Source organism: Homo sapiens, chromosome 17, assembly GCF_000001405.40.
Source record: "Homo sapiens chromosome 17, GRCh38.p14 Primary Assembly".
Lineage (NCBI taxonomy): Eukaryota > Metazoa > Chordata > Mammalia > Primates > Hominidae > Homo > Homo sapiens.
The window spans coordinates 77,436,518-77,461,206 of NC_000017.11; the positions used below are offsets into that span (position 1 = coordinate 77,436,518).

Here is a 24,689-nt window from a genome sequence, read left to right on the forward strand (position 1 = left end):
CCTTCCCATCCTCCCACTTCCTTTGCCATGGGCCCCCTCCTCCACGCAGACCCTCAGCCTGGAATGATCAGTGTCCAGCTTTTCTCGCCCCTCTCCTGCCCCGCTGGAGGGAGTGACCTGGCCCCTGGCCCCGGCCACCTACACCTCCTGTTTTGCTGCACTAGCCTCGTGGTAGGGGCTGCGGCGGAGGTGGGCAAAAGCCGCTTCCGGGCAGCCAGCCCCCATCCTGGGAGTGACTGAAAGTCCTTGGGGGTTCCTGCAGGGTGAGCTGCCCATTCTGGCCCTGGTAAGGACACCCAGGAGAGGGCCAGGGTGCCTGTATTTGGGGCACAGCATAAAGAACAGCCGTAAGTGTTTCTCAGGCAGGAGGGTGCCGAAGCATTGGGAAGCTGGGATTTAGAAGCATTGTTTGGGGTGGTGAGTGGAAGATGCAGGACACAGATTCACGCGATTGTGCAGATCACCTGGCCTCACTCCCTCGGTTTACAGTGGAGGAAACTAGAGGCCGAGAGAGGTGAAGTGAGTTCCCTGGGGTCACACAGCCTAGCCAGGCCCAGGGCGCCGACCTCCTGCTCTGCCTTCCCGTGCCCATTCGGTTGGCATCAGCATCCCTGCCTTGACACCCCCGTGTGGCAGCTGCTGTGATTCTGTGACTCCTCCTCACCCCACCCCAGTGGGGCCCTGCGAGGGAAAGAAGAATGCCCTATGCAGAAGTGGTTGGAAAGCAAGAAGCCTGGAGAGAAGTGAGGCCTCTGTGGTTTGGCCTGAGTCCAGGACTCATGGCCTGGTTCCCAGGGATGGAGCACCGACCCCTCCCTTCTACACCCCCACCCCACGCCCCCAGGAGCTCCCTATGGGGAAGCCGGAATGGACCTGGGCTCAGAGATTGTAAATTCATCTTGCTGGATGTGTGGCTGCCTTTATGTAACCAACTCTCTCACGGAGAAGCCAGGGGATGGCTCTCAGTACTCTCGGGGGTCTCTCAGTGAGGTGGGAGGACCTCGAGAGGTCAGGAGGCTGCTCAAGACCTTCTGCCCCTCAGGGACCAGGTGAGGGCTTGTCGACTGCTCTGACCTCCTGATGCTTCTGGTGGGGAGACCTCAGAGGGGCCTGCCGTCACCATCGCCAGTGGCCCTGGCCTGCCCAGTCATCCTTCTGGGGTGGCCAAACTCCATGCTGCAAAAGCCCAAGTGAACCCCAGTAGTGGCCTGGGAGAATCATCTGTCACGAGCCAAGGATGGAGTTTCTGGGGAGGACTTTCTGCTGCCCCCCAACCCCTTTCGGGTACATTCTCCTGTAGCCCCACTCCCTGTAAGAAAGTCAGGTGCCTCCCGAAGCTTCTCCCTGGCCCCAGGCCAGAGGTGACAGTGGGGGCCCCTTGCTTGCGCTGGTGACTGTGGCTGGTTGTTGGTGCCTGGCCCTGCCCTGCACTGTGCACCCATTGAAGGCGGCATCATCCGGGCCTCTCCGGTGGCCATGCATGGGTGAGCAGCCCACGACACATCTGCTTCCAGCATCGTGTGGGCCGGGGCTTTCAGAGGGGCTGAGGGCTTGGATGGCCCTGCAGGGGGGTGCTCCTGGCCTTGTGACCGAAAGGAGCTGAAGGTTTGGAGAAGCCGTTGGGCCGAGGTCAGTTCTTATAGATTTGGCGAGGAGGGAACAGATGCTCACGGAGCTGCTCCAGGCACTGCACACACTGCCTCACTCTGCGCTGACAGCCAAGAGGCTGGTTCCCCGCCGACCCCCATTTTACAGATAATGTGCTCCCCCAGTTCCTTAGTGGTGGAGCCAGGATTCGAACCCACGCAGGCAGCCTCCTGGGCCTGTAGTCCTACCCTTCATCTCCCTCCAGGACCTATGTCTTGGGGTTGGCAGGATAATGACTCCCAGAGTTGAGCACATCCTAATCCCCAGCACCTGGGACTACGTTAGGTGACATGGCAGGGCCAGCTAAGGTCACTAATCAGCTGGTCTTAAAATAGGGAGATGATCCTGGATGATCCACACGGGCCCGCTGTCATCACAAGAGTTTTTAAAAGCGCAATAGACCATCTGAGGGGTGCAGTGGGAGAGGCTTGGAAGGAGGAAGGAGGCCACAAGCCAAGAAATGCAGGTGAACAGAAAATGCAGGAAAACGCAGTCTCCCCTGCAGCCTCGGGAGGGTGCGCAGCCCTGTGGACACCTTCCCTGTAGCCTAGTGAGGTGGAGTGTGGGACTAATCTGTGTTGTTTGACATCACAAGTGTGTGGTCATTTGCTACAGCAGTGATGGGAATTGAATGCCATTAGGCAGCAGTGCTTCTATCCCGGAAGAATTAGGATAAATTCCCCTGTGGATCTCAAGCTCTGGGAGATTCTGGGCTCCTCTGGACTGCTCCAGTTCTGCAATCATAGGAAAGGTCTCCCATGTCTGTTTGGGAGAAGAAAACCCCGTAGCAAATCCATTTCCCCTTTTGACAAATGAAGGCGAGGGTGTGGGCTGGACACATGTTTCCTTTTTGTGGATTTTTTTTGTTTTAACACTTAGAATTCTGTAGCTGAAGGAGACTTTGGGGGGTTGTCTGCCTGATTTGCAAGTGAAGAAATGGAGGCCCAGGGAAGTTAAGTGACTGGCCCAGGGTCATGCAGAGTCATGCTGGAATATCAAGCTAGATAGCCCAGTTCCTGCTCCAAAGTGCTTTCCTCCCTGGTTGGGGAGGAGGGTTGGAGGGAGTGGACCCCGAGCAACAGCAGCATTGGCAGGGGTTGGAAGAGTAGCTACTGTATCCAGGTGCTGGAGCCTCTGGCCACTTCCTGCAGGAACCAGGTGACCCACCATGGCACAGGCCTCTCCCTGTCTATCTGCAGCCCTGGGGGCCCCAGGGACCAGAGGACACTCTGGCCTGAGGGCTGGGGCCTGAGAGAAGAGATGGAAGTACCCCTAGTCTGGCCTGCCCCCGTGGCGTCCTGCAGGCATATCCGGCAGCCCAGGGGTCCTAGAGAACTTGGCTGGTGGGCGTCCCCACCTTGCCGCAGCTGCACCCTGTGGCCAGCAGCTTGCAGGACTTGGGCTGTTGCCTGTGGCCCTGAAACAGTCATTTTCTGAGCTGAGTGGGGATCAGGTGAGCAGATCCCCACACCTTAACTGCTGTGATCTTTCTGTCCTGGAGGCTGGTGGGCAGCCTGGTTGGTGCTTCATGGCACTTTATGACCGGCCCTGTCACCAGGCTCGTGAGTTGCTCCCCTCCTTTCGGGCATCCTGAACGGCTTCCCTGAGAGCCCCGCCCTGGGCCTTCGCCTCTGCAGGCCCCCGCTGCCTGGGGCGCCTCCTTCCCCTGGAAGCTGGGCCTCTTTGGGGACTCATTAAGAAGGGCCTTGCCGAGTGCTGCCAAATTGCCCCATCTGGTCCCCATTTGTTCCACTTACCACCCTATTTTAACTTTTATGTCTCCTCCTTGGCTCTAAGATCTGAGCAGGCAGGGCCTGTGAGGCACCCCAGGTCCCCTGATGCTGCCAGCACCCAGGGGACTGTTAGTACATATGCAGGGAGGGAAGGAATGAAGGAAGAGATGACTTGGGGAGTCCTCCAGTTCCCATTTGTAACTGGCACATTGCGACAAAACACTCATGGCATTTTACCTTTTTCATATACCTTTTTTTTAAATTTATTTTTATTTGAGATGGAGTCTCGCTCCGTCACCTAGGCTGGAGTGCAGTAGCACAATCTTGGCTCACTGCAACCTCCACCTCTCGGGTTCAAGCGAGTCTCCTGCCTCAGCCTCCTAAGTAGCTGGGATTATAGGCGCCCACCACCACGCCCGGCGAATTTTTGTATTTTTAGTAGAGATGGGGTTTCACCAAGTTGGCCAGGCTGGTCTCGAACTCCCGACTTCAGGTGATCCGCCTGCCTTCGCCTCCCAAAGTGTTGGGATTACAGGCGTGAGCCACTGCACCTGGCTTTCGTATATCTATAAAAGAGAATTTGCCCAGAAAATCTTTCAGATGCACCTTTAGGGTTTTAAGGCACAGATACATGAAGCTTGTCAGTGAGCAGCTGCTGCTTATTCCTTTTTCTCTTCCAATTCAGAGCGGCCTGCGTCCCAAGCGGACAGCTGCTCCCTTCCTCTTGGCTCCCTGCTGCCCACGCTCCCACAGAAGCAGGGAGAAGAGGCAGGAAGGTGACGCGTGATCATCCGCTGGGCGCCCGCACAGTGCCGTCTGCACAGGTGCCATCTCCTTTACTTGTCACTCTCCTCGCTGAGCCCTTTCCCCTTTTTGCAGATGAGAGAGCATTGCCTCCCAGAGGTTAAGAAATGGGCCCAGAGTCACTCAGCTGATCAGCGTGCAGCCAGATTTGAACCACATCCTGCTGATCTCCATGCCTGCAGGCCTGGCCTGATGAGATGGACAGCTGGGTGGTGGAGACCTTGAGACCCTGGATGGCTCCCAAATAGGGCCTGTAGCTCCTGGACAGGGAGAGTCTGGCACAAAGGGTTTGTGGAGTGAGCTGGGGGAGAAGGTGGCTTAGGGTCCCTGTCTCTGAACAAACAGATGGAGGGGCTATTCCAGCGTTTTCTCAGCCTCTGGTGTGCTGGGCTCCTGGTTCTGGGAGGAGAGAATGGAGCTGGCCTCCATTCTGGGCTGGGCTGGTTTGGGCCCAATTCAGACAAGCTTCTTAGTTTGCCATGAGTGACACTTTTGCCTGCCCTGGTGTCTCTGCCAAAAATATGAAGGGTTTCAGAACCCCCACCCCGGCCTGCTTCCCTCCCAGACTTGGAGTGGGTCTGGGGCTGACAACAGTCTCATGCCAGATAGCCTGAGCAGCCACCAGTGCCATCAGGTCTGACACTGCGGCCCCTGCCCCGGAGGGAAAAACAAGGCCCTCTCTGGGGGATTTTCTGCCAGCTTGTGAAAACAGGCCTGGAGTCAGCCAGCGCCCCCATGCTTAGACACTTCGTGTGGTTTTCAAAGTGCTTTTATGTTGCTAGCTCATATGATCTTCCCCAAAACCCCATAAGGGAGGGCAGGAAGTTTGAGCAACAGCCTGTCAAGCACCCATACAGCAGGTGGTTTCATTGCCCTCCATTTACAGACAAGTAAACTGAGCTTCAGGGTGGCTACCGCTTGTCTCCCAAGCCACCCAGCCATTTAGCCACGGAAGAGGTCATGACTTTTTACACCCCAGTGAAGCTGAAGATTTTTCTTTCCGTTTTTAAAAATGTTTACTCCCCAGGGCAGTGAACACCTGGTGCCTCTGTCTAGCGCAAGAGGTGAACGTTTGCCACTTCCGTTTCTTTCCTCCTACCAGACCTGACCCTCCTTTTGTGACGGGAACATCCTGCAGGCAGTCTGTCCTGCTTTCATAGACTTTGAGAAACGGGGTCCAAATTGCCGGCTGTGGGTGGGACAGGCGACACTGCAGTGAAGAGGTGGAGTATTTTTGTAGCGGGGAAGAAATACATTTCCTCTACCCTCTTAGGTTCAGTGTTTGGGGGTCTGTGAATTAAACTCACTCAAGATAAATTAATGAGAGAAAAGACAGATTTAATCACATACGTATGGGATTTCACTGAAAAACGTGACTCAAAAGAGCAGGTAGAAGGTGGGGCCCGTGACTGGTCCGAAGGTAGTGAGTTATCTCAGTTGATTGTTCACAGTCAGTTACAGATTAGACTCCTTGTTCCACTGTCTCCCCTCTTCCCACTTGTTTTGTTTTTTTTGAGTCAGAGTCTTGCACTGTTGCCTGGGCTGGAGTGCAATGGCACGATCTCGGCTCACTCTAACCTCCGCCTCCCGGGTTCAAGCGATTCCCCTGCCTCAGCCTCCCGAGTAGCTAGGATTACAGGCACCCACCACCACGCCTGGCTAATTTTTTGTATTTTTAGTAGAGACAGGGTTTCACTATGTTGGCCAGGCTGGTCTCAAACTCCTGACCTCGTGATCTGCCTACCTCGGCCTCCCAAAGTGGTGGGATTACAGGCATGAGCCACTGCACCCAGCCAACTAGTCTTAAAAAAAAAAAAAAAAAAAAAAGAACTTAGGGCCCGTATACTATCTTAATAGGAAAAAAGGAAGGGGTGAAAGCACATATTATGGGCCGGGTGCGATGGCTCACGCCTGTAATCCCGGCACTTCGGGAGGCCGAGGCAGGTGGATCACCTGAGGTCGGGAATTCAAGACCAGCCTGGCCAACATGGTGAAACCCCGTCTCTACTAAAAATACAAAAATTAGCCGGGTATGGTGGTGCACACCTGTAATCCCAGCTACTTGGGAAGCTGAGGCAGGAGAATTGCTTGAACCCACGAGGCGGAGGTTGCAGTGAGCTGAGATCATACCATTGCATTCCAGTCTGGGCAACAGAGTGAGACTGTGTCTTAAAAAAACAAATAAAAAAAAAAAAGCACATATTATGGCAAAACAAATGAGTTTTTGGAAAGATAAATAGGCCCTTAGGAGCTGAGATGGGAGATGTGAAGTCTTGTGACAATGTCTTCTTAGGTGTGGTGTGGAAACTACTCACATCTTCCAGGGAAGAGTCAGTTGCTCCCAGGGAGCAGATTTGGGCCTGTATACCATCTTAATAGGGGAAATGGAAGGGGCAAAAGCACATATTATGGGCTGGGTGCAATGTGCCCAGTGCAGGAGGCAGACGTGGTTTATGGTTGCTGTTGAAACCAGTGCAGGGCCCGATTGCTTTGTATTGAGTGTTGAGGATCCTGGTTTTGTATCAGCCATGAGTTTGCAGCTCTGGGACACACTTGATGTTGGCTCAAGGGGAAATGAGGTTGGAGGGGCAGGGTGGTTGGATTGGATGTGGGCCTGGGGCCATTGCTGATCTACAAAGTGGTCATCACACGGGAATAATAGAGCTGGCTACAGACCACAACCAGCAATATTATTTAAAAGTAAGGTCACACTTTTAATAATAAGTCACATTTTAAGTTATTATCAATTTATAAAACACACTGTTGGTATAATGATAGCTTTTCAAGAAGGATATAAAAAGGCATGTTGGGCTGGGTGCAGTGACTCACGCCTATAATCCCAGCACTTTGAGAGGCTGAGGTCGGCGGATCACTTCAAGCCAGGAGTTTGAGACCAGCCTGGCCAACATGGTGAAACCCTGTCTCTGCTAAAAATACAAAAAAAAATTAGCTTGGCGTGGCGGCGCATGCTTGTAATCCCAGCTACGGGGGAGGCTGTGGCAGAAGAATCACTTAAAACCTGGGAGGTGGAGGTTGCAGTGAGCTGAGATCGCGCCACTACACTCCAGCCTGGGCAACAGAGCCAGACTCCGTCTCAAAAAAAAAGAAAAAAAAGAAAAAAAGTAAAAAGGCATGTTGAAGGTACCTGCTTGTGGAAAGTTGCAACTTGACGGGAGGTAGGGCGAGCACTTCTTAGAAAGGTGGAAATGGGCCCTCCTGCTACAGAGACCCACAAACATAGACTGAGGCCTGCAGCCTAGGAGACTCAAAAGAGGCAAAGGTGAATAAGAGTCAAGGTCTCCAAGTCAGGGTCTGACTCTGGGGGTGGGGGTCACATATGATGGAGGATGTCAGGAGGGCTTCCTGGAGGTGGTGACATTTACCAGGGGGGATTTTAGGTGGGGTTTGCGAGACAGTAGGACCTGGCTGAAGAGCGTAGGCTCCTTAGACAGGAGTGGGAATTCAGGCTTGAAAATGAGTTGGCCAGATTGCAGGGGTCCTCGAATGCAAGGGAAGAATTTCAACTTTAACAGAGGAGCCTGGGAAGCTGTTTGGGAAAAGGAGTGATAAAGCGGGAGGGGTCCTCCAGCAGAGCCCTGCATGGGCAGGAGGGAGCGAGATGGGAGGTGGGTGTTGGTAAGGGATGATCCCAGTGGTCCAGGGGAGCAGTCATAGGGTGGAAACTAACCTTGTGGGGTCTGGGCAGGAAGGGACTGATTTGAGACACCGGGAAGAAACAGCCAGTAGGACTTTGGTGAGAGGGCTGGGGGTCGGGGAGGGGGGTGTGGAGAGTGGGAGCTTGAGTCTCTGAAAACAGACAGTGTTCCAAGGGGGAGACCTGAGGCAAGATGTGGAGAGGCAGCTGAGCTGGGAAGCTGGAACGGAGGTGTGGTCACTCCAGGAGACTAAGTCAGGGGGCGAGGGGACCCTTGGGAGCTATCTAGACCCCAGCACTAGGGAATACGGAGGGGAGAAGGAGGGGAGAAGAACCAGCTGGTGCGTGTCAGGCACTGCCCTCGAGGTCAGATGGGGTGGGGCTGGATACTGGCCATGAGGATTTTTTCAAGAGCTGGGTTAATAGTGAGACGGGCGGACACCAGATGGCTCGGGCTAAGAAGTAAGTGGGCGGTGGGAAGCTAGAAGCCGTGGTGTAGACCTACTTTGAGAGGTTGGGCTGTTCAGACAGGGAGAAAGTTCACAGTTTGAGGAGGTAGATAGGTCAAAGGAAGAGGGTTTGCTTGTTTTTGAGATTGGGGCATCCTGAACGTTCTCCCAGGCCAAGTGAGAAGAAACCAGAAGAGGAACATGTCACCCAAATGTGCTGAAACAGCCCAGCAGCTGCGCTGCCTCACAGAAAATGTGCAGAGGCCCCTCTGTCCCACCATGCCTGCCTGGGGACGGCCTTCACTCGGGCTACTCAGGGTTTCCCCAGCCTGCCAACCCAAGGGTGGCAGGAGCTGTGGGTGCTCCCAGCCCCTTCTCAAGGTTGGTCTGTGGGTAGAAATGTGGGCTGCCTCGGGGCGTCACAGCTACAAATGCATACCAGCCCTCAGAACCACATTCCTGCTCCCCAGCCCTTTCCTCCGCACCCCCATGCAGAAGCGCGGCCGCCAGCTCACAAAGGATAGGGAGGGATATTGCTCTTGGCATTTGATGGGAAGCATCTGCTGCATCCCATTGGGGTGTTGCCCAGGATGGATTGGAAAAGAGTTGGCAGGAAGGCTGAGCTCTGTGCTCACAACCTGGCTTGGTGGTGGCCGAGGAGCTTGGCAGGAGCAGAGTGCAGGACCTGGGAACTGGGGGTTGGTGCATGTGTGCACGCACGTGTGTGTGTGTGTGCGTGCGTGCTGGGTGGGTAGGGAGGAAGCTGTGAAACCACATCCCCTCCTCTCTGCTGCTGTGTTGCTGTGTGTTTCAGCAGCACGTGGGTGTCACCACACTTCCTAGCAGGTGTCAACCTCCAAGACTGTTCTGGGCTCTTCTCCCAGTTGGCTGAGTTGGAGGTGGGAGTCCCAACTGTCCCCTGTGGCTTCCAGAGTGGGACCTTGCTGTGGGATAGGCTGGCCAATGGTGCTCCCTCCCCTGTGACCCTTCTGTTGGGTGGGTCACGAGGAAGGACTGTGGGTGTTGCCCACAGACAGGTGGACATGTGGCAAGGACACCTTGGGACCTTCTTTCTGACGCCCCTTGAAGGGGGCACTTTCTCAGCTTTGAGATGAGTCTCTGTGGATGTGGGAAGTTCACTATCTCAAGAGCAGCAGCCTTGGAAAATCCAACACAGAACCCCGAGTAGGGGCGGGAAGGGGTCCTGTCCCGCTCACTGGCTGCCTGGCAGAGTTCTGCACAAGGAAGCGCCTGTGTTGCTGTGGGCGGAGGAATGGACTGAGGGCTACATTCGCTTCCTGTTGCCGCTGTAACTGCTTATCACAAACTCAGTGGCTTAAAGCAACAGAGGCTCCTTCCTTTACAGTGCTAAGGGTCAGAAGCCGATCAGTCTCACCGGACTAAAGTCAAGGTGTTGGCAGAATCCATTCCTGCCTCTTCCAGCTTTGGGTGGGAGGCTCTGCTGGAGTTCCTTGGCTTGCGGCTGCATCCCTCCAGCCTCTGCCTCCATCCTCCTACAGCCTCCTCCTTCTCTGCAGTCAGATCTCCCTCTGCCTTCCTCTTTTTTTTTTTTGAGACGGAGTCACCCAGGCTGGAGTGCAGTGGCACAATCTTGGCTCACTGCAGCCTCCGCCTCCTGGGTTCAAGCGATTCTCCTGCCTCAGCTTCCCGAGTAGCTGGGATTACAGGCATGTGCTACTACACCTGGCTAATTTTTGTATTTTTAGTAGAGACAGGGTTTTGCCATGTTGGCCAGGCTGGTCTTGAACTCCTGACCTCAGGTGATCTGCCTGCCTCAGCCTCCCAAAGTGCTGGGATTGCAGCCATGAGCCATCACACCTGGCCTGCCTCCCTCTTAAAGGACGCTTGTGATTTGGGGCCCACCTGGGTAATCTCTTCATCTCAACATCTTCAGTTACATCTACAGAGTCCCTGTTGCCACATGAGGTAACACAGTTTGGGAAGGGAGAGTTATTCAGCCTACCCTAGGGGCCTGTGGTGTATCTCAGGGCCCTTCTGATTTTAAGATATAAAGCAAGAAAACAAACTGGCTCAAGGGGAAAAAAGGACACGTTGAATTCTGTTGCTTTAAATGTATATTTTTTTATTGTGCTAAAATGCACAGAACATAAAATTTGCCATTAGTAACACTGAGTACATTCACAGTGTCGTGCAACCATCAGCACTGTCTAGCGCCAGAACTTTTTCATCACCCCAAAGGGAAACCCCGTATCCATGAAGGACTCACTCCCCATTCGCCCTCTCCAGCCCTTGGCAGCCACCAGAATGCTTTCTGTCTCCATAAATTCATTTTTAATAAGTGCAATTCTGTGTGACTTTAAAATAAATAAACATGAGCACGATGAGTTGCTTATTGGAAGGATATCCATGCGGGGAGGCCGGCGTGTGGAGTGCGTAGGCCTCCGGACGGGCAGGAGTTGAAGGGGCGTGGATGTGCCGCCCTCTCCTCCCCTTGCTCTTTCCTTGGGGTCACTGCCTGAGTATCCCTCTTTGCAAATGGCCCCAAATAATGTCTCAGCCCCCACGTCTGCATCGCCTCCTAGCTTCAGGACCCTCCACCAAAAAACATTCCAAGCTTCAGACTCACTCCTGGGAAAATTCCAATGGCCTCACTCTCCCTTTTGAGCCAGCCAGATCCCATGGCCTGTGGCGGGCTGCCTTTGAGTCCTGAGCACCTGTGAGCTAGGGAAGCAGGACAGGCACACCCAGGGAAGGGGAAGAGTCGTCGTCAGTCACAGTAATTGATATCTTTGGAATCGTCTAAGAGATACTTAGCGTGTGCCTAAAACATTCATTTCTTTTTTTGTTTGTTTTTTGAGACGAAGTCTCGCTCTGTCGCCCAGGCTGGAGTGCAGTGGCGTGATCTCAGCTCACCGCAACCTCCTCCTCCCGGGTTCAAGCGATTCTCCTGCCTCAACCTCCTGAGTGGCTGGGACTACAGGCACACACTACCACGCCTGGCGAATTTTTGTATTTTTAGTAGTGACTGGGTTTCACCATGTTGGTCAGGCTGGTCTTGAACTCCTGACCTCAGGCAATGTGCTCGCCTTGGCCTCCCAAAGTGCTGGGATGACAGGTGTGAGCCAACACACCTGGCCACATTCATTTCTTAGGAGAAGCTCTGCATTTTCTGAAAGTGAAATGTCCCCAGGCGGGTGACACTGATGGTGGGATCTGTGGCCTCACCAGTGTCTTATGAGAGATGCCGCTGTGTGTTTCACCAAGCTGTATCCTATTGTCCTCTAAATGTGGCTTGTAGACATGGTGCCGAGAATGATCTGGGAGGTTCAAATCATAATATGGTCCAAATCAACAGCTCTCTGATGACCTGGTATTATCCTAGGATCAAATTGAGACTATCCGAGGATGGGCGTGGTGGCTCACGCGTGTAATCTCAGCACTTCAGGAGGCTGAGGCGGGCGGATCAATTGAGGTCTGTAGTTTGAGACCAGCCTGGCCAACATGGTGAAACCCCATCTCTACTAAAAATACAAAAAGTAGCCGCCGGACATGGTGGTGTACGCCTGTAGTCCCAGCTACTTGGGAGGCTGAGGCGGGAGAATTGCTTGAACTCAGGAGACGGAGGTTGCAGTGAGCCAAGATCACGCCATTGCGCTCCAGCCTGGGTGACAGAGCAAGACTCTGTTCCCCGGCAACCAAAAAAAAAAAAAAAAATTGAGACTCTCCGAGCTGCACTGTCCAGCATGATAGCCACTGGCTGCACGGGGCCATTTGAACACCTGAAATGTGGTGATTCCAAGTGGAGAGGTGCCGTGTGTGTGAAGTGCACTCTGGGTTTCAGAGTCCTAGCAAGGGGGAAAGAAAAGAATATCAAATATCTGTCATTTTTACATTGATTACATGTTGAATTGATAATATTTTGGGCTCTGTTAAGTGAATGATATTAAAATTAATATCACCTGTTCTTACATTTTTTAATGATTTCCTTTTTCTTTTCTTTTCTTTTTTTTTTTAAATATGGGGTCTCACACTGTTGCCCAGGCTGGAGTGCAGTGGCACGATCTCGGCTCACTGCAACCTTTGCCTCCCAGGTTTGAGCGATTCTCCTGCCTCAGCCTCCCAAGTAGCTGGGATTACAGGTGGCTGCTACCATGCCTGGCTAATTTTTGTATTTTTAGTAGAGACAGGGTTTTGCCATGTTGGCCAGGCTGGTTTTGAACTCCTGACCTCAGGTGATCTGCCCACCTCAGCCTCCCAAAGTGCTGGTATGACAGGCGTGAGCCACTGTGCCTGGCTTGTTCTTACATTTTTTATTGTAGGTGCTGGAAAATGTAAGGTTGCGTCTGTGGCCCATGTGCCGTTTCTGCTGGAGGGTTGGACCGAGGGCCAGCCGAGAAGGCTCTGGGGCTGCTCTACCTGAATGCTGAGTGTGTGCTGAGCGGTAGAGAACTTTGAGAAGTGCTGAAGGACAGAGGCTTTGTGTGGGGGATGCAGCCCCAGGCCGGAGATGCCTTCTCTGTGCTCTGGAGACCCTCATTTGGTGACAGCAAGAGGAACCACTGCAAGAGGGGCGGCCACCTCAGCAAAGCACCCAGGATGCTGGCCTCCCAGCTCAGGAATCCAGAGGCAGAGGAGGGGAGGAGGCTGGGCTTGGAGGAGAGCAGGGTCTTGGGCCCTGGGAAAAGCCTGGGGGGCCAGAAAGCTGGGGGACAGATTGAGGCCAGAGGCAAAGAGAAGAAGGTTCGGAGAGGAGGGCCAAGGAAGAAGGGTTCTGCCCACGGGGAGGGAGAGGCCCACGGGGCAGGGGCGTGGTGGGAGCTGCATCCTCGAGGCTTTCTGTTGACCCTGACACCTGGCCAGAAAGGAGTTCCTTCTGGCATCCTTTGTCAGCGGTTTCTGGAGCTGCCCTTTAGGGGCCAGTGATGAGGGTGCCCTGGGCTGGGCTGCAGACAGTGGAAAAGACAGGCTCTTCTCACTCCCAGTGCTGGGGAAATTAGCTTCTTGGAGGAAGGGGGAGCTGTATTTTCTGAGTGGCCGCACTTCCTGGCCTAGACGTGTGTGTCTTGCTGTAATTTTGGCGACTGGTGTTGGTGGTGCCCATTTTATGGATGGGGAAGGTCAAATTCCACAGATATTGAGTGACAGGCCCAGGGCCTTGGATTTCAGTGTTTGACTCAGAACCCAGGTCTCTGATCTGCCACCAGCCTCCCTCCCATTCAGATGGGAACAGGGACTCCGGGCATGCAGTCTTCTCCCAGACACTCCCCCGGCTCTGGCCTGGCGCCCGGAGACCAGTAGCAGCAGCTCCCCACGGCCGTTCACTGTGAGGGTGGGGAGGGCCGTGGGACCAGGAGGCCTTAGGGGGAAAGTTGGCCATGAGGAGTGGGAAGCGACGGGTCAGATGCCAGTGACTGCTGGCTGGGGAGCCGCTGGACGTGGCTGGCCTGTTTGGCCAGTGTGGCGGGTGCCCCGGGGCTTCAGTCACCCCCAGCCACGTGTGGGGGTGCGGGATGGGAAAGGTAAGAGTGTGTGGAGCCCAGTCAGCACTCAACATGAGGTCCCGTGGGGGCTGCCTGAGGGCGTAGCTTCCAGAATTCAGCCCCTGGCCCTCAGAAGGTGTCACCAAAGGCTTCTTTCCATTTGAGTGAATCCCTCCCAGCCCCCAGCAAGCCCTCGGAACGAGCCCACTCCCAGGCGCTCTCTCCTAGTGTGGGAGTGGCCACGCCCCTGCTGGGAGTGACTCACTTGGGTTCAGAGGTCGTGGCACTGAGATGGGTCTGGCAGATCCCAGCGTCCAGGCCCAGCCCCTATAGTGTCAGCTCCCTCCTCTGGGGACCCCCTTGCTTGTGCCCCTCTGGGTCCCAGCACATCCCAGGCCTGCAGGGAGGGGGAGAGGAAGAGACTGACTCACTGGCCAGGTCCCCCAGGGGCTGGAGAGGCTGGAGAGGCAGGAGCTGGATCAGATCTGAATCCAGAGGCTCTCGGAGGAAGAGCTCAGGGTGAGCTGCGCCCCCATCCCCTGCCCCTCCTCTCCTGCTCCTTCTCCCTTCCATGGTCCCAGCCAGCAAGCACCTGGGGTAGAGGGGACAAACCCAGGTGGCTGTGTTCCAGCCCTGGCTGCAGGTCTGAATGGCTTTCTGGGGTGGCTGGCCATGCTCCCTGAGAGCCCAGCTGTGGCGATGTCTGAGCAGGTAGGTGGGGGAGCACCTAGGAAGCAGGGGTGTCAGGCAGAGCACAAGGAGAGAGGGTGTCCAGGTCAGTTTCAGGACCTGGCTGAGAGGAGGGGGCTCCTCACGGGCACCGCCTCTGGCAAGCACAGGGACAAGGGCAAGGACGGCATGGCCAGAGGTCCCTGGGAGCCTCTTCCCCTCTCTTCTTCCTAGCAGCTCCCCCTCACTCTTCCCAGGGACCCTGTCACTTTCCTTTAGCGTGTGGCAGCTCCTTGGCGTCCCTCCCGTGCCTTCAGGTTGCTTCTGCGCCGGGCCTGCCGCTGGGCGCCCCTATCTCTGCCTGCCCCCTCCTCCTGCTCCCCTCGCCCTGCCCCCTTGGAGCAATTCCCCACCGAGCCTCCCTTCCCAGGCAGTCGAGGTCCCTCCCTACCTCTGCCCCGCGCTCTGGGAGGCTCCTTGTTCCGCGACCACAAAGCCCCTTTGATCCTCTGCTCGGCTCTGAGCCATGTGACCCGGTGGGCGGGCCGCGGCTCTCGGCGCGTCCAGCGCAGCCCGACGTTCCGCTGCTGGGGTGAGTCCTGCTCCTTTGTTCTTCCCAGCCTTGCACCACTGGCTCGGGGGCTCTCAGGTGGCGCGGCCGCGAGGCGGACCCTGATGGCCATGGTGGCGGTGCCGGGAGCCACGCTGTCCCTGGGCCCCGGCCCGAGGCCGGCAGGACCGAGCGGGGTCCCCAGGAGAGGGGTGGCGGGGAGCTCGATCTCCACGCGGGGACCAGATTTTCGGCCTCAAAATAGAAGAATAGGGCTTTGTGTGGTCACAGCTATCTCTTTGTAAATATTTGGCCAACTAAGCTGAGTGGCTAAGTTCTCCTGCTGCCCGGAGCTTCTTGGAACATGTTTCCTTTTCGCAAGGGGTTTCCCTGGCTTCCAGGAGGGCCAGGAAGAAATTCGAATTGGCCACCGCTTTCTCTAAAATCACTCCGCTCAAGTTATCACCCCTCTGGGCTCCCGAAGACCGGCTGGCTGGAGGCTGGAGATAGTCTCAATGCTCGAAATGCCGTAACCGAAGCTCCCCGCGGCGCCGGCACTGGGATCCAGGGAGCTGCTGCTACAGCGCAGCTCTGGATTCCTGGATGTGTTGGATATGTGCAGGGCGTTCCTGGGAGGAGCGGGGAGGGAGGGTGCTGCTGGCGGGGCTGGTCTGCGTGTGCTTTGCTTCTCTACAATGGCATGCTGCGTGTCGGCCATGCAGAGGCATGTCAGTGAGCAGGGGCTGAGGGATCTCCCTAACGGACCTGCTTTCAGAGGGTCTTTTCATGCTGGGAGAACCCCAGAGACTAAATCATGCAGCCAACGGGGTGGTCCCCGGCCTCAAAGCAGGGAGGGGCGAGGAGCTTTGTAGGCAATGCCATCTGCTCCTGAAACGCCGTCCCAGTGACTCTGGGGACTGACTCAGCCTCCAGCCTGCTGCACTTCATCCCTGGCCCCTCTCTCTTTGCTTTTTCATGTGAAATCTGCTGTGTTTTGGTCAGAGGTTTGGGGAACAGCTCTCTGCTCATCTAAGATAAGTTTGTAATTCCTTTCCTGGAGAAAAATATGCCACCCGGAAGCAGGTTGAGCAGTGGTTTTCTGGCAGGTCTGTTCGGGGCTGTGGAGACAGCACCTGCTGGATCAGGATGGAGTTGGAATTTGGTTTGGATCCCACATGAGAAAACCCGTTGGAAGAGGAGGAAGCAGAAAAAGGCCCCATTCCCTAATAATGCTGTGGGTTTTCCTCCTCCATTCATTGCCACCTTGCCTTGAAACTTAATGGGGCCACGTGTGTTTCCATGAATGTCATTCTCTTTGGCCAACTCCCCCGGCAGCCCCAGGAGCTCCTTTTCAGGAAAAGGAAGAAGGTGTTTGCTTAGCATCTAGTATACGAGTCCTTGTTGGAAAGGTGGGATTCTTGTTTCTCCTTGGGTCTCTTTTAGGCTGAGATGTGGTCAAGGAAGGCCTGTGGTGTGGCTCGCCTTTTTTAATGCTCGTCTCTGGAGACCTGAGTTGCTGCTGACTCCCAGCTTGCCCCTTCTGTCCCCTGGCCATTTCTGTGTCGGGGTGGCTGAGACACTATTGCATTGGCCACTTTGTGTTCCCACTAGCCCCCGCCCCTGTAGGCTGTCATTGTGATGGTGATGGGGCCAATTCAGCTGCGGTGGGGAGGACCCACTGTGTGCGCCTGGGGGGTGGCGTGGGGCACTCTGGGATGAGAAGATGCGACTTCTGCCCTGAGAGCCCTGCTTTAATGGAAGGCGGGGGCATAGTTGCAGGCAGAAGCCATCAAGCACTGTGGTCAGACCAGCATTCCATGTCAAAAATGGCCTTGTTGGCCGGGCGCAGTGGCTCATGCCTGTAATCCCAACACTTCAGGAGGCCAAGGCAGGCAGATCACCTGAGGTCAAGAGTTCGAGACCAGCCTGGCCAACATGGTGAAACCCTGTCTCTACTAAAAATACTGGCTAATCCGGGCATGGTGGCGCGTGCCTGTAATGGCAGCTACTCGGGAGGCTGAGACAGGAGAATCACTTGAACCTGGGAGGTGGAGGTTGCAGTGAGCTGAGATTGTGCTACTGCACTCCAGTCTGGGCAACAAGAGTGAAACTCTGTCTCAAAAAAAAAAAAAAAAAGCCTTATCTGGGCCTGGGATCTGTCCTCCGAACACTGGGTCCACTGTGCTCCACAAGGACTTTCACCCCGGAAGCCCTAGACCCACTTGGGCAACCAGAGTCTCTGGGTTGACCACTCCCCAGCCCTGGCCAGCCTCCTGGGCCACCGTATTCTCCCAACTTCCTGTTGTGCCACGGCTGGTCCAAGCTGCTCTTATCAGACAATGCGAGGCACTTCCACAGGAGGGGACAACCCCGTCCTTAGGAGCCCCTTCTCCCTGCCCCCAGGCCTGGTGCAGTGTGTGGCTTCCCTGCCGGTGTCAAAGGTCTCAAGGCCCCTTTAAGAAGCCTGTCACCACCACCAGCAGCTTCCGTTATCTGGTTCTTCTGTACATGTAAGCCTTTCCCATACACCCCGGATGTTTAGGGCTTCCGCCCTCTCTCCCTGGCCGGGAGTGTGGGAAGAGGGCTTTATTTCAATGCTTGAGAGTAGGGTCAATGGCCAGGGTAAGCTGTGGGGGCTCCTCCCCGCCGGCCCCTCTCTGCAGCCCTCACCTTAACACAGAGCATCGATACCACCTGGGCTTTGGGAAGACCTGGAGGCTGACCACCCTGGAGGCTCCCAGCGTCCCACAGCCACTCTTTGGGGAAGAGGCTTCCTGAGGGACTTGTGGCCCTTGGCTGGGACTCTAGTCCCAGAGTTCTGCCTTCCGGCGCCGAGCTTTGATTTGTTTATTGAGTGCCAGCCCGGTTCCCGGACAGGTAGGGACCTGTTCCCGGAGCTCAGCAGAGCCTTGGGAAGCTTTCCCAGGAGGGCTCCCGAGGGTGGCGGCCATGCCCAGTCCGCTGTACGTGTGAGTTTGTTTGATGAGGAATTGGCTGGGAAGGCGCGGGTCTAATTACAGGCCCATGAGGGTCCCTCTCGCCCCCACCCAGGAAGCAGCGGAGATCCTGGCACACTCAGCACCTGGGCCTGTGCCTGCCCAGCTGCTGGTGGAATCATGGGAGCCTTGCTCCGGGGCCTGTAGAGCAGCAGTGGGAACCTTCCCCACCTCAGCCCCTCCCAGAGTTGGCTGTTCAAACTCGCCGCCGCTCAGCCTCTTCCTCCTCTCTTTCATCAACCCTGGGAATCGCACACTGCCCACCCCACCGGGCCCCGGAGCGGGTGCAGGAAGAGAGAGCTTAACACCCAGAGGTCTGGGCCTTCTGCAGGCGCCTGAGCTGCTGTGGCCTGAGCTGGGTTCCCTGCTGGAACCATCACAGTAGACCTAATGATCTGCCTGCAGGAGTTGCTTCATCCCAGCCGACTCCGGGGCTGCGGGAAGGGGCTGGGCCTTGGTTTTGCTGGGGGTGGGGGGTCAGTGCAAAGGGCCTGAAAAGTGGCAGAGGTGATGGCCCATCTGTCCTCCCCCTGGCCGGCCGGCCTAAACGCGATTGGCTCTCTTTCTTTTTTTTTTTTCCCTCCCTTTTCCCTATAAATAACACTAAATGCGATTTGTCAATGCATTCATTTGGGTTCAGTAGTTGGACCATGGGCAGAAGCACTCCAGATTTGTCACTTTCCCTAAGCTAAGGGTGGGGAACACCCTCTGTGAGATCTTGGCTCCTGAGCGCCCAAGACTGCTCTTGGAACCCCAACTCTGGGTCGGTCTCAGGGGACTGACGTTGATGGAGTTGCTGACATTGACCTCCGGCCTCTGCATGGCCTTCAGGAAGGGGGCCCTTCGCTCTCTGTCCCGTCGAGCCTGGCTGGCAGCACTCCCTTCTCAGGCCTGTGCCCCCGGCAGGGCCTGCTGCCCCCGCCCTGCTCTGTGGGTGCCAGGCTCCAAGCACCAGGTGACTCGGTCACTGAATGGTCACTGAACAGTCATCCTTGCTGGTGTCCCCAGTGGAATGTGCATGGACGTCCTCCCTCCCCCAGATCCTTGTCTTTTATCTCTCAGCCTTTGTTCCAGGGGCCACCACAGGACCAGGAGGTACGCAGACGTGGGTGGCACATCCACTGGGCAGATTCAGCCCTGAACCTGCACGCCCCCTCCAAGGGGGCCCCCAGCGGGCGGGGTTGATGGTGCCGTCTCTCTCTCTGTCACTAGAACGGACATGAGGATTGTGTCTTGTCGATCCACGTCCTGAGTTCCCAGACGTCATAGGTGCTTGCTCAACGAGTGTTTGAATGAATGGTCAGCATTGTGTGACCGCAGATTTTCAACTTTTATCCAAATAGTTTGTGGTTTCTGTGAGGCTATCCCGAGACAGTCTCACAAGAATCTCCATTCTCCCTGCACGCTCCGCACAAGGTCTCCTTGGGGGGTTTTTCAGAAAAAGGGCCAAAGAGCAGCATTTCCTCGGGGATTTGAACACGATCTCCCCCGGGGCAGGGGACTGCCCTGGAAGATTCCCGGCACCGCTTCCCATGCGCCACGTGACTAGGAGGGTCTTGGGGCAGGATGGTGTCTTTTGTGCCTTGTGTGCTGGGGCCGGAGGAAACACTGCCCGTGGCCGGTGTCATCTGCCAGCCCTGAAGACTAATGATGGGCTGGACAGTGGCCCCATTGAGTGGGAGGGAGAATCGCTGCTGTCTGTAGCTGGGGGGCCGGGTGGGTGGGAGCCGAGGCCAGGGAGAACAGCGCAGACCTGGCACGGAGAGGCCTGGAGGAGGAGCAGGGGGTCTCAGCCACCCAGGGTGCAGGGACGCCACACGAGGAGCAGGTGTGGTGTGCGTCCTCCTGCGGGTTCTCCACCTCTTGGCTTCGTTACCTGCACTAGGCTTTGTGGTGAGAGGGCACAGAGTGGAGGAAGGTGCCGTGGCTAGGGCAGGCCACACGCTGTGCTAATGGATTGCTGTTACCTGTCGCCTCTGTGGTTTTGCTGTCAGGATCCTCCAGCACCAGGTCCCCACCACCAGGTATGGGCCCCACAGGCACTACTGGCTCCCCGAAGCCAGGGACAGACCCCATAGACAATACTGAGTCCCTGCAGCCAGGGATGGGCCCCCACGGCCAGTACCAGATCTCAGGGACCAGCACCGGGTACCCACAGCCAGGGACAGGCCTCCATGGCCAGTACCAGGTCTCAGGGACCAGCACCGGGTACCCACAGCCAGGGACGGGCCCCCATGGCCAGTACCAGATCTCAGGGACCAGCACCGGGTACCCACAGCCAGGGACGGGTCCCCATGGCCAGTACCAGGTCTCAGGGACCAGCGCTGGGTCCCCACAGCCAAGGACAAGTCCCCACGGCCAATACCAGATCCCAGTGACCAGCACTAGATGTCCACAGCCAGAGATGGGCCCCTATGGCCAGTACCAGGTCTCAGGGACCAGCGCTGGGACCCTGGATGACTGAAGGAGGGCACGGTTGACTAAAGCTGCAGGAGCCAGCCTGGCCATCCTGAGGCACTAAGCCATCACTGCGGTCTCAGGGGACTCAGACTCCTCTACTTGTCTTCTTGAATTCTGGAATCAGACACACCTGGGTCCAGCCTTTGCCCCCGGGGCTGTGTGCCTGGGATGGTTGCCTCACCTCCCTGAAGCTCAGTGAGATGGGGACGGCTGCACAGGGCCCGGCACAGATGGCACCCGATGGCACAGGGTCACCTGCTTGCATCCATACAGCCTCGGCCCTCGCTCTGGCTGCGTACCGAGAGTCCCATGCCCAGACCTCTGCTGAGTCTCCAAGCTCCTGGTCATGCCTCAGGCCTCCCGTGAGAAGCATCACTGCATGGACCATGCCTCGGGACCTCACCTTGGGCTGGGAAGCTTGCTCCATCTCCCCAAGTCTCCCCTAGAGGCGCCCCATGTCCCATCACTCTCACTGCTTGAGGGGTCAGATAGGGGAACCCAGTGTGGGAGGCCCAGAGGTGCCGGAGCAGACGTTAAGCGAGTTCCGTGTTTATGCGCTGGGCCTTGGCAGACACCCTGAATGAGCCTCTTCCCCAGGAAGGAGATTGGGGTCCCAGTCCAAGTTGTGGCCTCAAACCCTGTGACCAAGAGTGGAGAAAAGGCAAGACCCCTCCTCCCAGTCTTCCAGAACAGCCGATAGTGGTGGAAACATGGGGTTCACACTGAATTTCCTTGTAACTTGTTGAAGAGAATTTAGCCCACATTTTCAGGGGTGGAGGTCTGGCCGATTTGGCAGTGTGCCCGTCCCCCTGGCCACAGTTTACTCTGGACCGGGCACCCTGGTGCCCTCCCTCAGTGACGCAGTGAAGTCACTATGACGTGTTTAGTTGGTGAGAAAGTGCCTCCTGTAATGTTTTACTCTTCTTAGAGGGTGAATAAGCCTTGTTTATTATAAATAATTATTTACAGAATACATGAGGTTTAACCTAACTCTGGGCCACGGCAGCGTCCCCTGGGTAAACCCACGCGCCACCCTAGCTAGAGCCTGTGCCCCCACAGGCTTCCTGGACTCACCCTGAAGGGGGGCTGGATTTTCTGCCTGTCCCGATGAGAGGGCTGCAGGACAGTCCCCAGCGAGCCCTTCTGAGGGCTGTAACCTCTTCCCCTGGTATTTTCCTGCTCGCCAGGAATGTTTCAAGCTTCCAGCAGAAGCCTACCCACCATAGTCGCTTTCCACCCTGCTCACCATCCCTCCTGCCCTCACTCATTCAGCAGACCCCGTGCACAGCCCAGTGCAGGACTCAGGGTGGGAAGGTGTCCCGGGTGGGCTGGAGCAAGGTTCCCAGCCAGGGCGGGGTCCCAAGGTGGGTCCACAGCCAGGACTGTGATTTGGGAGGCCCCTCCCTGCCTTGTTCCAGCCCCGGCACCGCCGCTGTCCTTGTGCTCAGTGGAGACTCACTGGCTCCAGGCTCTAAAACCTCAGCGAGGTCTGCAGACAGGGAGGAGCCCCACTCGAGGGTAGAGTGACTGCCGGGTCCATTTGCCTGTTACGAACCACGTGGCCTCAGACCTGCCATTCCTCCTCTCCTAGAGCTATGGTCTTTTGTCTGAAAAATGGATAATGATGGTTACCATGTCAGGGACCATTTTGAGGACAAACGGGGATGAAACTGAAGAGGCTCAGCACGGAACCTGGACACAGAAGTGCTAATTGTGTGTTACCAGCTGCGGTGGCTGCCAAGGCCCAACCACATGGCAGCCACGGGCTGAGTGGCGGGCGGGAAGTGGGGAGCAGGAGCATGCAAGATGGGCATTCCTGAAGTTTCTGATCCAGTGAGATAAGTACACACCCAGCTCTAAGATGGAGTGTCCCAGGAAGGTGGAGACTGCAAAGGCCTTGTGGCGCAGGAGTGTGAGCTGCACCTCTGGGCTCTCTAGAATTTCACCAGAGCTCAGGGAGGAGGTCAGCTCAGATATAGGGGCAACGGGAGAGATGGGAGTGAGAAAATGGCTTGGCGTCTGGAAGTGGAGCCTGGAAAGGTGGGCGTGGGGACAGAGGAGGGCCTTGGGGGCCATGGGCCCATGCGTCCAGGAGGTGGAGGCAGTGAACGGGGCCACGGTCGGCCCCACACGTGGCACCACCAGCCCTGCTGAGCCTGCACCTGCTCCTCAGGCCCCCTGAGTGCCACTACCACCTGGCACCCCTTGGTCTGATTCCTGCTTCCTGCCCGCCTGGGAAGAGTGAGACCACTTGCCTAAAGTCCCTTAGCTGTCCTTAACCATTCTGGCTGCCTCCTGGCCCTGTCCAGGGTTAGCCGTTGACCTGAACTGCCTGGTGCCACCTCCCCAGACTCCTGGGGCCTTGCCCTGGCACCAACAGCCACCTCCATCTTCATCATTCACTCGCACATTCACCCAGCAGTGCTTTTTGGGCATCCACTCAGCAATATCAAGGCGCTGAGATGCGGCTGTGGTTAAGACCCGGGCCCGGTCTGTGAGGACCTCGCAGTTGCCATTTCCCCAGAGCACAGCCCCAGCCAGGCACACTGTGGGGTCCAGAAAGAGAAACTAATACATTGTGTTCGTCCATTTTGAGTTGCTATAAGGAATAGCCGAGGCTGGGGGGTTATTTGACTCACGGTTCTGCAGGCTGTACAAGTGGTGCCAGCATCTGCTTGGCTTCTGGGGAGGCCCCAGGAAGCTTTTCCTCATGGTAGAAGGTGAAGGGGGAGCTGGCACGTCACATGGCGAGAGAGAGAACTCCCAGACTCTTTTTTTTTTTGAAATGGAGTCTCGCTGTGTCAGCCAGGCTGGAGTGCAGTGGCACAATCCTCGGCTCACTGCAACCTCAGCCTCCTGAGTAGCTGGGATTACAGGCGCATGCCACCGCGCCCGGCTAATTTTTTTGTATTTTTACTAGAGATGGGGTTTCACCATGTTGGTCGGGCTGGTCCCAAACTCCTAACCTTGTGATCCACCCACCTTGGCCTCCCAAAGTGCTGGGATTACAGGTGTGAGCCACCTCACCCAGCCCTCCCAGACTCTATAGCAATCAGATCTCCCGGACTTTGTGACCGTGGGGAGGGCACCAAACCATCCATGAGGGATCCACCCCCATGACCCAAGCCCCACCCCCCCCAGGCCTTACCTCCAACATCAGGGATCACATTTCAGCATGAGATTTGGAGGGGACAACGTCCAAACCATATCACACGTGACCTCTCTGTGCGTGCGTCAGTTTCTACATCTGGTTAAGCAGTAGAAGCTCCTTCTCTGTTCCTTGTTGAGAGAGCGGTGGGGGAGAAATGACTCAGGGATGGGAGGCTGGTCCCCCGAGGGGCCCTGGTGTTTGTGGAGTGGGAGTGCGGGAAGGCCCCTACGTTGTGTGTGCCGTGCTGGGCTGGCTCCTCACAGCTCACCGTGGTGCTCCCCGAGGACTGCTGGGGAGGAAAGAGCTAATTAACTTGGGGACCCAGCTGCTGAAGTTATCATTAAACTTGAGCAGTCCAGGGGCCCCTCTCCTTCTGGGTCCTATGTCACCCAGCACAGTGGGGCTTAATTGAATTTTTTCTCATCCCCCAAGGCTCCTGGCTGGCGTGGCTGGGGTTTGGGATACGGGGAGCGAGAGGGCTTGGGCCTCTTCCAGATTTGGAGTGGGTTCACCAGAAATGGCCCAGGAAACCGCGGGGGCCACCCCCAGCAGCTGGGGGCTCCTGTGGTCATTTCCTCTTGGTCCTGTTGAGCAGCCCTGGCCCCTGGAGCCCTCAGCAAGGGATGTGGGGGCCTGCCAGGCCAGGGTCCTCACTGCTGCCGCTATGCACAGCTGCATCTTGCATCCGGGGAGTGGGGTGCCGAGTGGGGTGTTTGGGAGGCAGGTTTTCCCTTGTCCCTTCTGCCCAGAGACCTTGGGGATGAGTTGAGTGAGACCCTTCCGGCTTCTGACTGGCTGTGTTTCTGTTGCCATCCCCCACTCCTTTTAAGTGGAGGTTTATGACTTCCTTCTTTATTTAAAAGGGTCATTTAGTGACTTAGCAGATCCCAGTCTGTGTTACCCAGGGCCCTTTTAAAAATCTGTGGGGAGGCTGGGCTTGGTGGCTCACACCTCTAATCCCAGCACTTTGGGAGGCTGAGGCGGGTGGATCACCTGAAGTCAGGAGTTCGAGACCAGCCTGGCCAACATGGAGAAACCCTACCTCTAGTAAAAATACAAAAAATTGGCTGGGTGTGGTGGCACGTGCCTGTAATCCCAGTTACTCGGGAGGCT

At 56.3% G+C, this 24,689-nt stretch overlaps 1 protein-coding gene and 2 long non-coding RNA genes across 12 annotated transcripts in view, besides 21 other annotated features; 2 read left to right on the plus strand and 1 right to left on the minus strand.

The window, feature by feature from the left end:
• The window catches only part of SEPTIN9 (septin 9), a 219,098-nt gene that overhangs the window by 155,019 nt on the left and 39,390 nt on the right, over window positions 1-24,689 (plus strand). Inside the window, exon 1 of one of the 10 annotated variants that reach the window (NM_001113496.2) lies at window positions 14,232-14,269. The gene's annotated coding sequence lies outside the window, so the exon portion shown is untranslated. 10 annotated transcript variants of the gene reach the window in all.
• Window positions 491-750: an enhancer, noted in NCBI's record as "active region_12835". NCBI's record gives its function as "activates an Ori minimal core promoter by ATAC-STARR-seq in GM12878 lymphoblastoid cells {active_cell/tissue: GM12878}" and the evidence as "EXISTENCE:reporter gene assay evidence [ECO:0000049][PMID:35858748]".
• Window positions 1,192-2,005: an enhancer, noted in NCBI's record as "H3K4me1 hESC enhancer chr17:75433791-75434604 (GRCh37/hg19 assembly coordinates)". NCBI's record gives its function as "activates a minimal SCP1, AML or CMV promoter by ChIP-STARR-seq in naive H9 embryonic stem cells {active_cell/tissue: H9 hESC(naive)}" and the evidence as "EXISTENCE:reporter gene assay evidence [ECO:0000049][PMID:30033119]".
• Window positions 4,711-5,000: an enhancer, noted in NCBI's record as "active region_12836". NCBI's record gives its function as "activates an Ori minimal core promoter by ATAC-STARR-seq in GM12878 lymphoblastoid cells {active_cell/tissue: GM12878}" and the evidence as "EXISTENCE:reporter gene assay evidence [ECO:0000049][PMID:35858748]".
• Window positions 5,161-5,270: an enhancer, noted in NCBI's record as "active region_12837". NCBI's record gives its function as "activates an Ori minimal core promoter by ATAC-STARR-seq in GM12878 lymphoblastoid cells {active_cell/tissue: GM12878}" and the evidence as "EXISTENCE:reporter gene assay evidence [ECO:0000049][PMID:35858748]".
• On the plus strand, window positions 8,400-10,648 carry LOC112268198 (uncharacterized). The gene has a single exon (XR_004837547.2). It is a non-coding gene; the product is annotated as an uncharacterized LOC112268198 (long non-coding RNA).
• Window positions 8,657-8,746: an enhancer, noted in NCBI's record as "active region_12838". NCBI's record gives its function as "activates an Ori minimal core promoter by ATAC-STARR-seq in GM12878 lymphoblastoid cells {active_cell/tissue: GM12878}" and the evidence as "EXISTENCE:reporter gene assay evidence [ECO:0000049][PMID:35858748]".
• Window positions 9,257-9,516: an enhancer, noted in NCBI's record as "active region_12839". NCBI's record gives its function as "activates an Ori minimal core promoter by ATAC-STARR-seq in GM12878 lymphoblastoid cells {active_cell/tissue: GM12878}" and the evidence as "EXISTENCE:reporter gene assay evidence [ECO:0000049][PMID:35858748]".
• Window positions 9,677-9,786: an enhancer, noted in NCBI's record as "active region_12840". NCBI's record gives its function as "activates an Ori minimal core promoter by ATAC-STARR-seq in GM12878 lymphoblastoid cells {active_cell/tissue: GM12878}" and the evidence as "EXISTENCE:reporter gene assay evidence [ECO:0000049][PMID:35858748]".
• Window positions 10,812-11,312: an enhancer, noted in NCBI's record as "H3K4me1 hESC enhancer chr17:75443411-75443911 (GRCh37/hg19 assembly coordinates)". NCBI's record gives its function as "activates a minimal SCP1, AML or CMV promoter by ChIP-STARR-seq in naive H9 embryonic stem cells {active_cell/tissue: H9 hESC(naive)}" and the evidence as "EXISTENCE:reporter gene assay evidence [ECO:0000049][PMID:30033119]".
• Window positions 12,411-13,318: an enhancer, noted in NCBI's record as "H3K27ac-H3K4me1 hESC enhancer chr17:75445010-75445917 (GRCh37/hg19 assembly coordinates)". NCBI's record gives its function as "activates a minimal SCP1, AML or CMV promoter by ChIP-STARR-seq in naive H9 embryonic stem cells {active_cell/tissue: H9 hESC(naive)}" and the evidence as "EXISTENCE:reporter gene assay evidence [ECO:0000049][PMID:30033119]".
• Window positions 13,319-14,225: an enhancer, noted in NCBI's record as "H3K27ac-H3K4me1 hESC enhancer chr17:75445918-75446824 (GRCh37/hg19 assembly coordinates)". NCBI's record gives its function as "activates a minimal SCP1, AML or CMV promoter by ChIP-STARR-seq in primed H9 embryonic stem cells {active_cell/tissue: H9 hESC(primed)}" and the evidence as "EXISTENCE:reporter gene assay evidence [ECO:0000049][PMID:30033119]".
• Window positions 14,226-15,133: an enhancer, noted in NCBI's record as "H3K27ac-H3K4me1 hESC enhancer chr17:75446825-75447732 (GRCh37/hg19 assembly coordinates)". NCBI's record gives its function as "activates a minimal SCP1, AML or CMV promoter by ChIP-STARR-seq in naive and primed H9 embryonic stem cells {active_cell/tissue: H9 hESC(naive and primed)}" and the evidence as "EXISTENCE:reporter gene assay evidence [ECO:0000049][PMID:30033119]".
• Window positions 15,213-15,512: an enhancer, noted in NCBI's record as "active region_12841". NCBI's record gives its function as "activates an Ori minimal core promoter by ATAC-STARR-seq in GM12878 lymphoblastoid cells {active_cell/tissue: GM12878}" and the evidence as "EXISTENCE:reporter gene assay evidence [ECO:0000049][PMID:35858748]".
• Window positions 16,040-16,947: an enhancer, noted in NCBI's record as "H3K27ac-H3K4me1 hESC enhancer chr17:75448639-75449546 (GRCh37/hg19 assembly coordinates)". NCBI's record gives its function as "activates a minimal SCP1, AML or CMV promoter by ChIP-STARR-seq in naive H9 embryonic stem cells {active_cell/tissue: H9 hESC(naive)}" and the evidence as "EXISTENCE:reporter gene assay evidence [ECO:0000049][PMID:30033119]".
• Window positions 17,182-17,521: an enhancer, noted in NCBI's record as "active region_12842". NCBI's record gives its function as "activates an Ori minimal core promoter by ATAC-STARR-seq in GM12878 lymphoblastoid cells {active_cell/tissue: GM12878}" and the evidence as "EXISTENCE:reporter gene assay evidence [ECO:0000049][PMID:35858748]".
• Window positions 17,855-18,761: an enhancer, noted in NCBI's record as "H3K4me1 hESC enhancer chr17:75450454-75451360 (GRCh37/hg19 assembly coordinates)". NCBI's record gives its function as "activates a minimal SCP1, AML or CMV promoter by ChIP-STARR-seq in primed H9 embryonic stem cells {active_cell/tissue: H9 hESC(primed)}" and the evidence as "EXISTENCE:reporter gene assay evidence [ECO:0000049][PMID:30033119]".
• Window positions 18,762-19,668: an enhancer, noted in NCBI's record as "H3K4me1 hESC enhancer chr17:75451361-75452267 (GRCh37/hg19 assembly coordinates)". NCBI's record gives its function as "activates a minimal SCP1, AML or CMV promoter by ChIP-STARR-seq in primed H9 embryonic stem cells {active_cell/tissue: H9 hESC(primed)}" and the evidence as "EXISTENCE:reporter gene assay evidence [ECO:0000049][PMID:30033119]".
• Window positions 20,021-24,375, minus strand: LOC105371903 (uncharacterized). Its single transcript, XR_934990.3, has 3 exons — window positions 24,330-24,375; window positions 23,806-23,865; window positions 20,021-23,704 (listed from the first exon to the last, which is right to left on the minus strand). It is a non-coding gene; the product is annotated as an uncharacterized LOC105371903 (long non-coding RNA).
• Window positions 20,318-20,931: an enhancer, noted in NCBI's record as "H3K4me1 hESC enhancer chr17:75452917-75453530 (GRCh37/hg19 assembly coordinates)". NCBI's record gives its function as "activates a minimal SCP1, AML or CMV promoter by ChIP-STARR-seq in naive H9 embryonic stem cells {active_cell/tissue: H9 hESC(naive)}" and the evidence as "EXISTENCE:reporter gene assay evidence [ECO:0000049][PMID:30033119]".
• Window positions 20,932-21,546: an enhancer, noted in NCBI's record as "H3K4me1 hESC enhancer chr17:75453531-75454145 (GRCh37/hg19 assembly coordinates)". NCBI's record gives its function as "activates a minimal SCP1, AML or CMV promoter by ChIP-STARR-seq in naive H9 embryonic stem cells {active_cell/tissue: H9 hESC(naive)}" and the evidence as "EXISTENCE:reporter gene assay evidence [ECO:0000049][PMID:30033119]".
• Window positions 20,971-21,050: an enhancer, noted in NCBI's record as "active region_12843". NCBI's record gives its function as "activates an Ori minimal core promoter by ATAC-STARR-seq in GM12878 lymphoblastoid cells {active_cell/tissue: GM12878}" and the evidence as "EXISTENCE:reporter gene assay evidence [ECO:0000049][PMID:35858748]".
• Window positions 23,390-24,003: an enhancer, noted in NCBI's record as "H3K27ac-H3K4me1 hESC enhancer chr17:75455989-75456602 (GRCh37/hg19 assembly coordinates)". NCBI's record gives its function as "activates a minimal SCP1, AML or CMV promoter by ChIP-STARR-seq in primed H9 embryonic stem cells {active_cell/tissue: H9 hESC(primed)}" and the evidence as "EXISTENCE:reporter gene assay evidence [ECO:0000049][PMID:30033119]".
• Window positions 24,004-24,617: an enhancer, noted in NCBI's record as "H3K27ac-H3K4me1 hESC enhancer chr17:75456603-75457216 (GRCh37/hg19 assembly coordinates)". NCBI's record gives its function as "activates a minimal SCP1, AML or CMV promoter by ChIP-STARR-seq in primed H9 embryonic stem cells {active_cell/tissue: H9 hESC(primed)}" and the evidence as "EXISTENCE:reporter gene assay evidence [ECO:0000049][PMID:30033119]".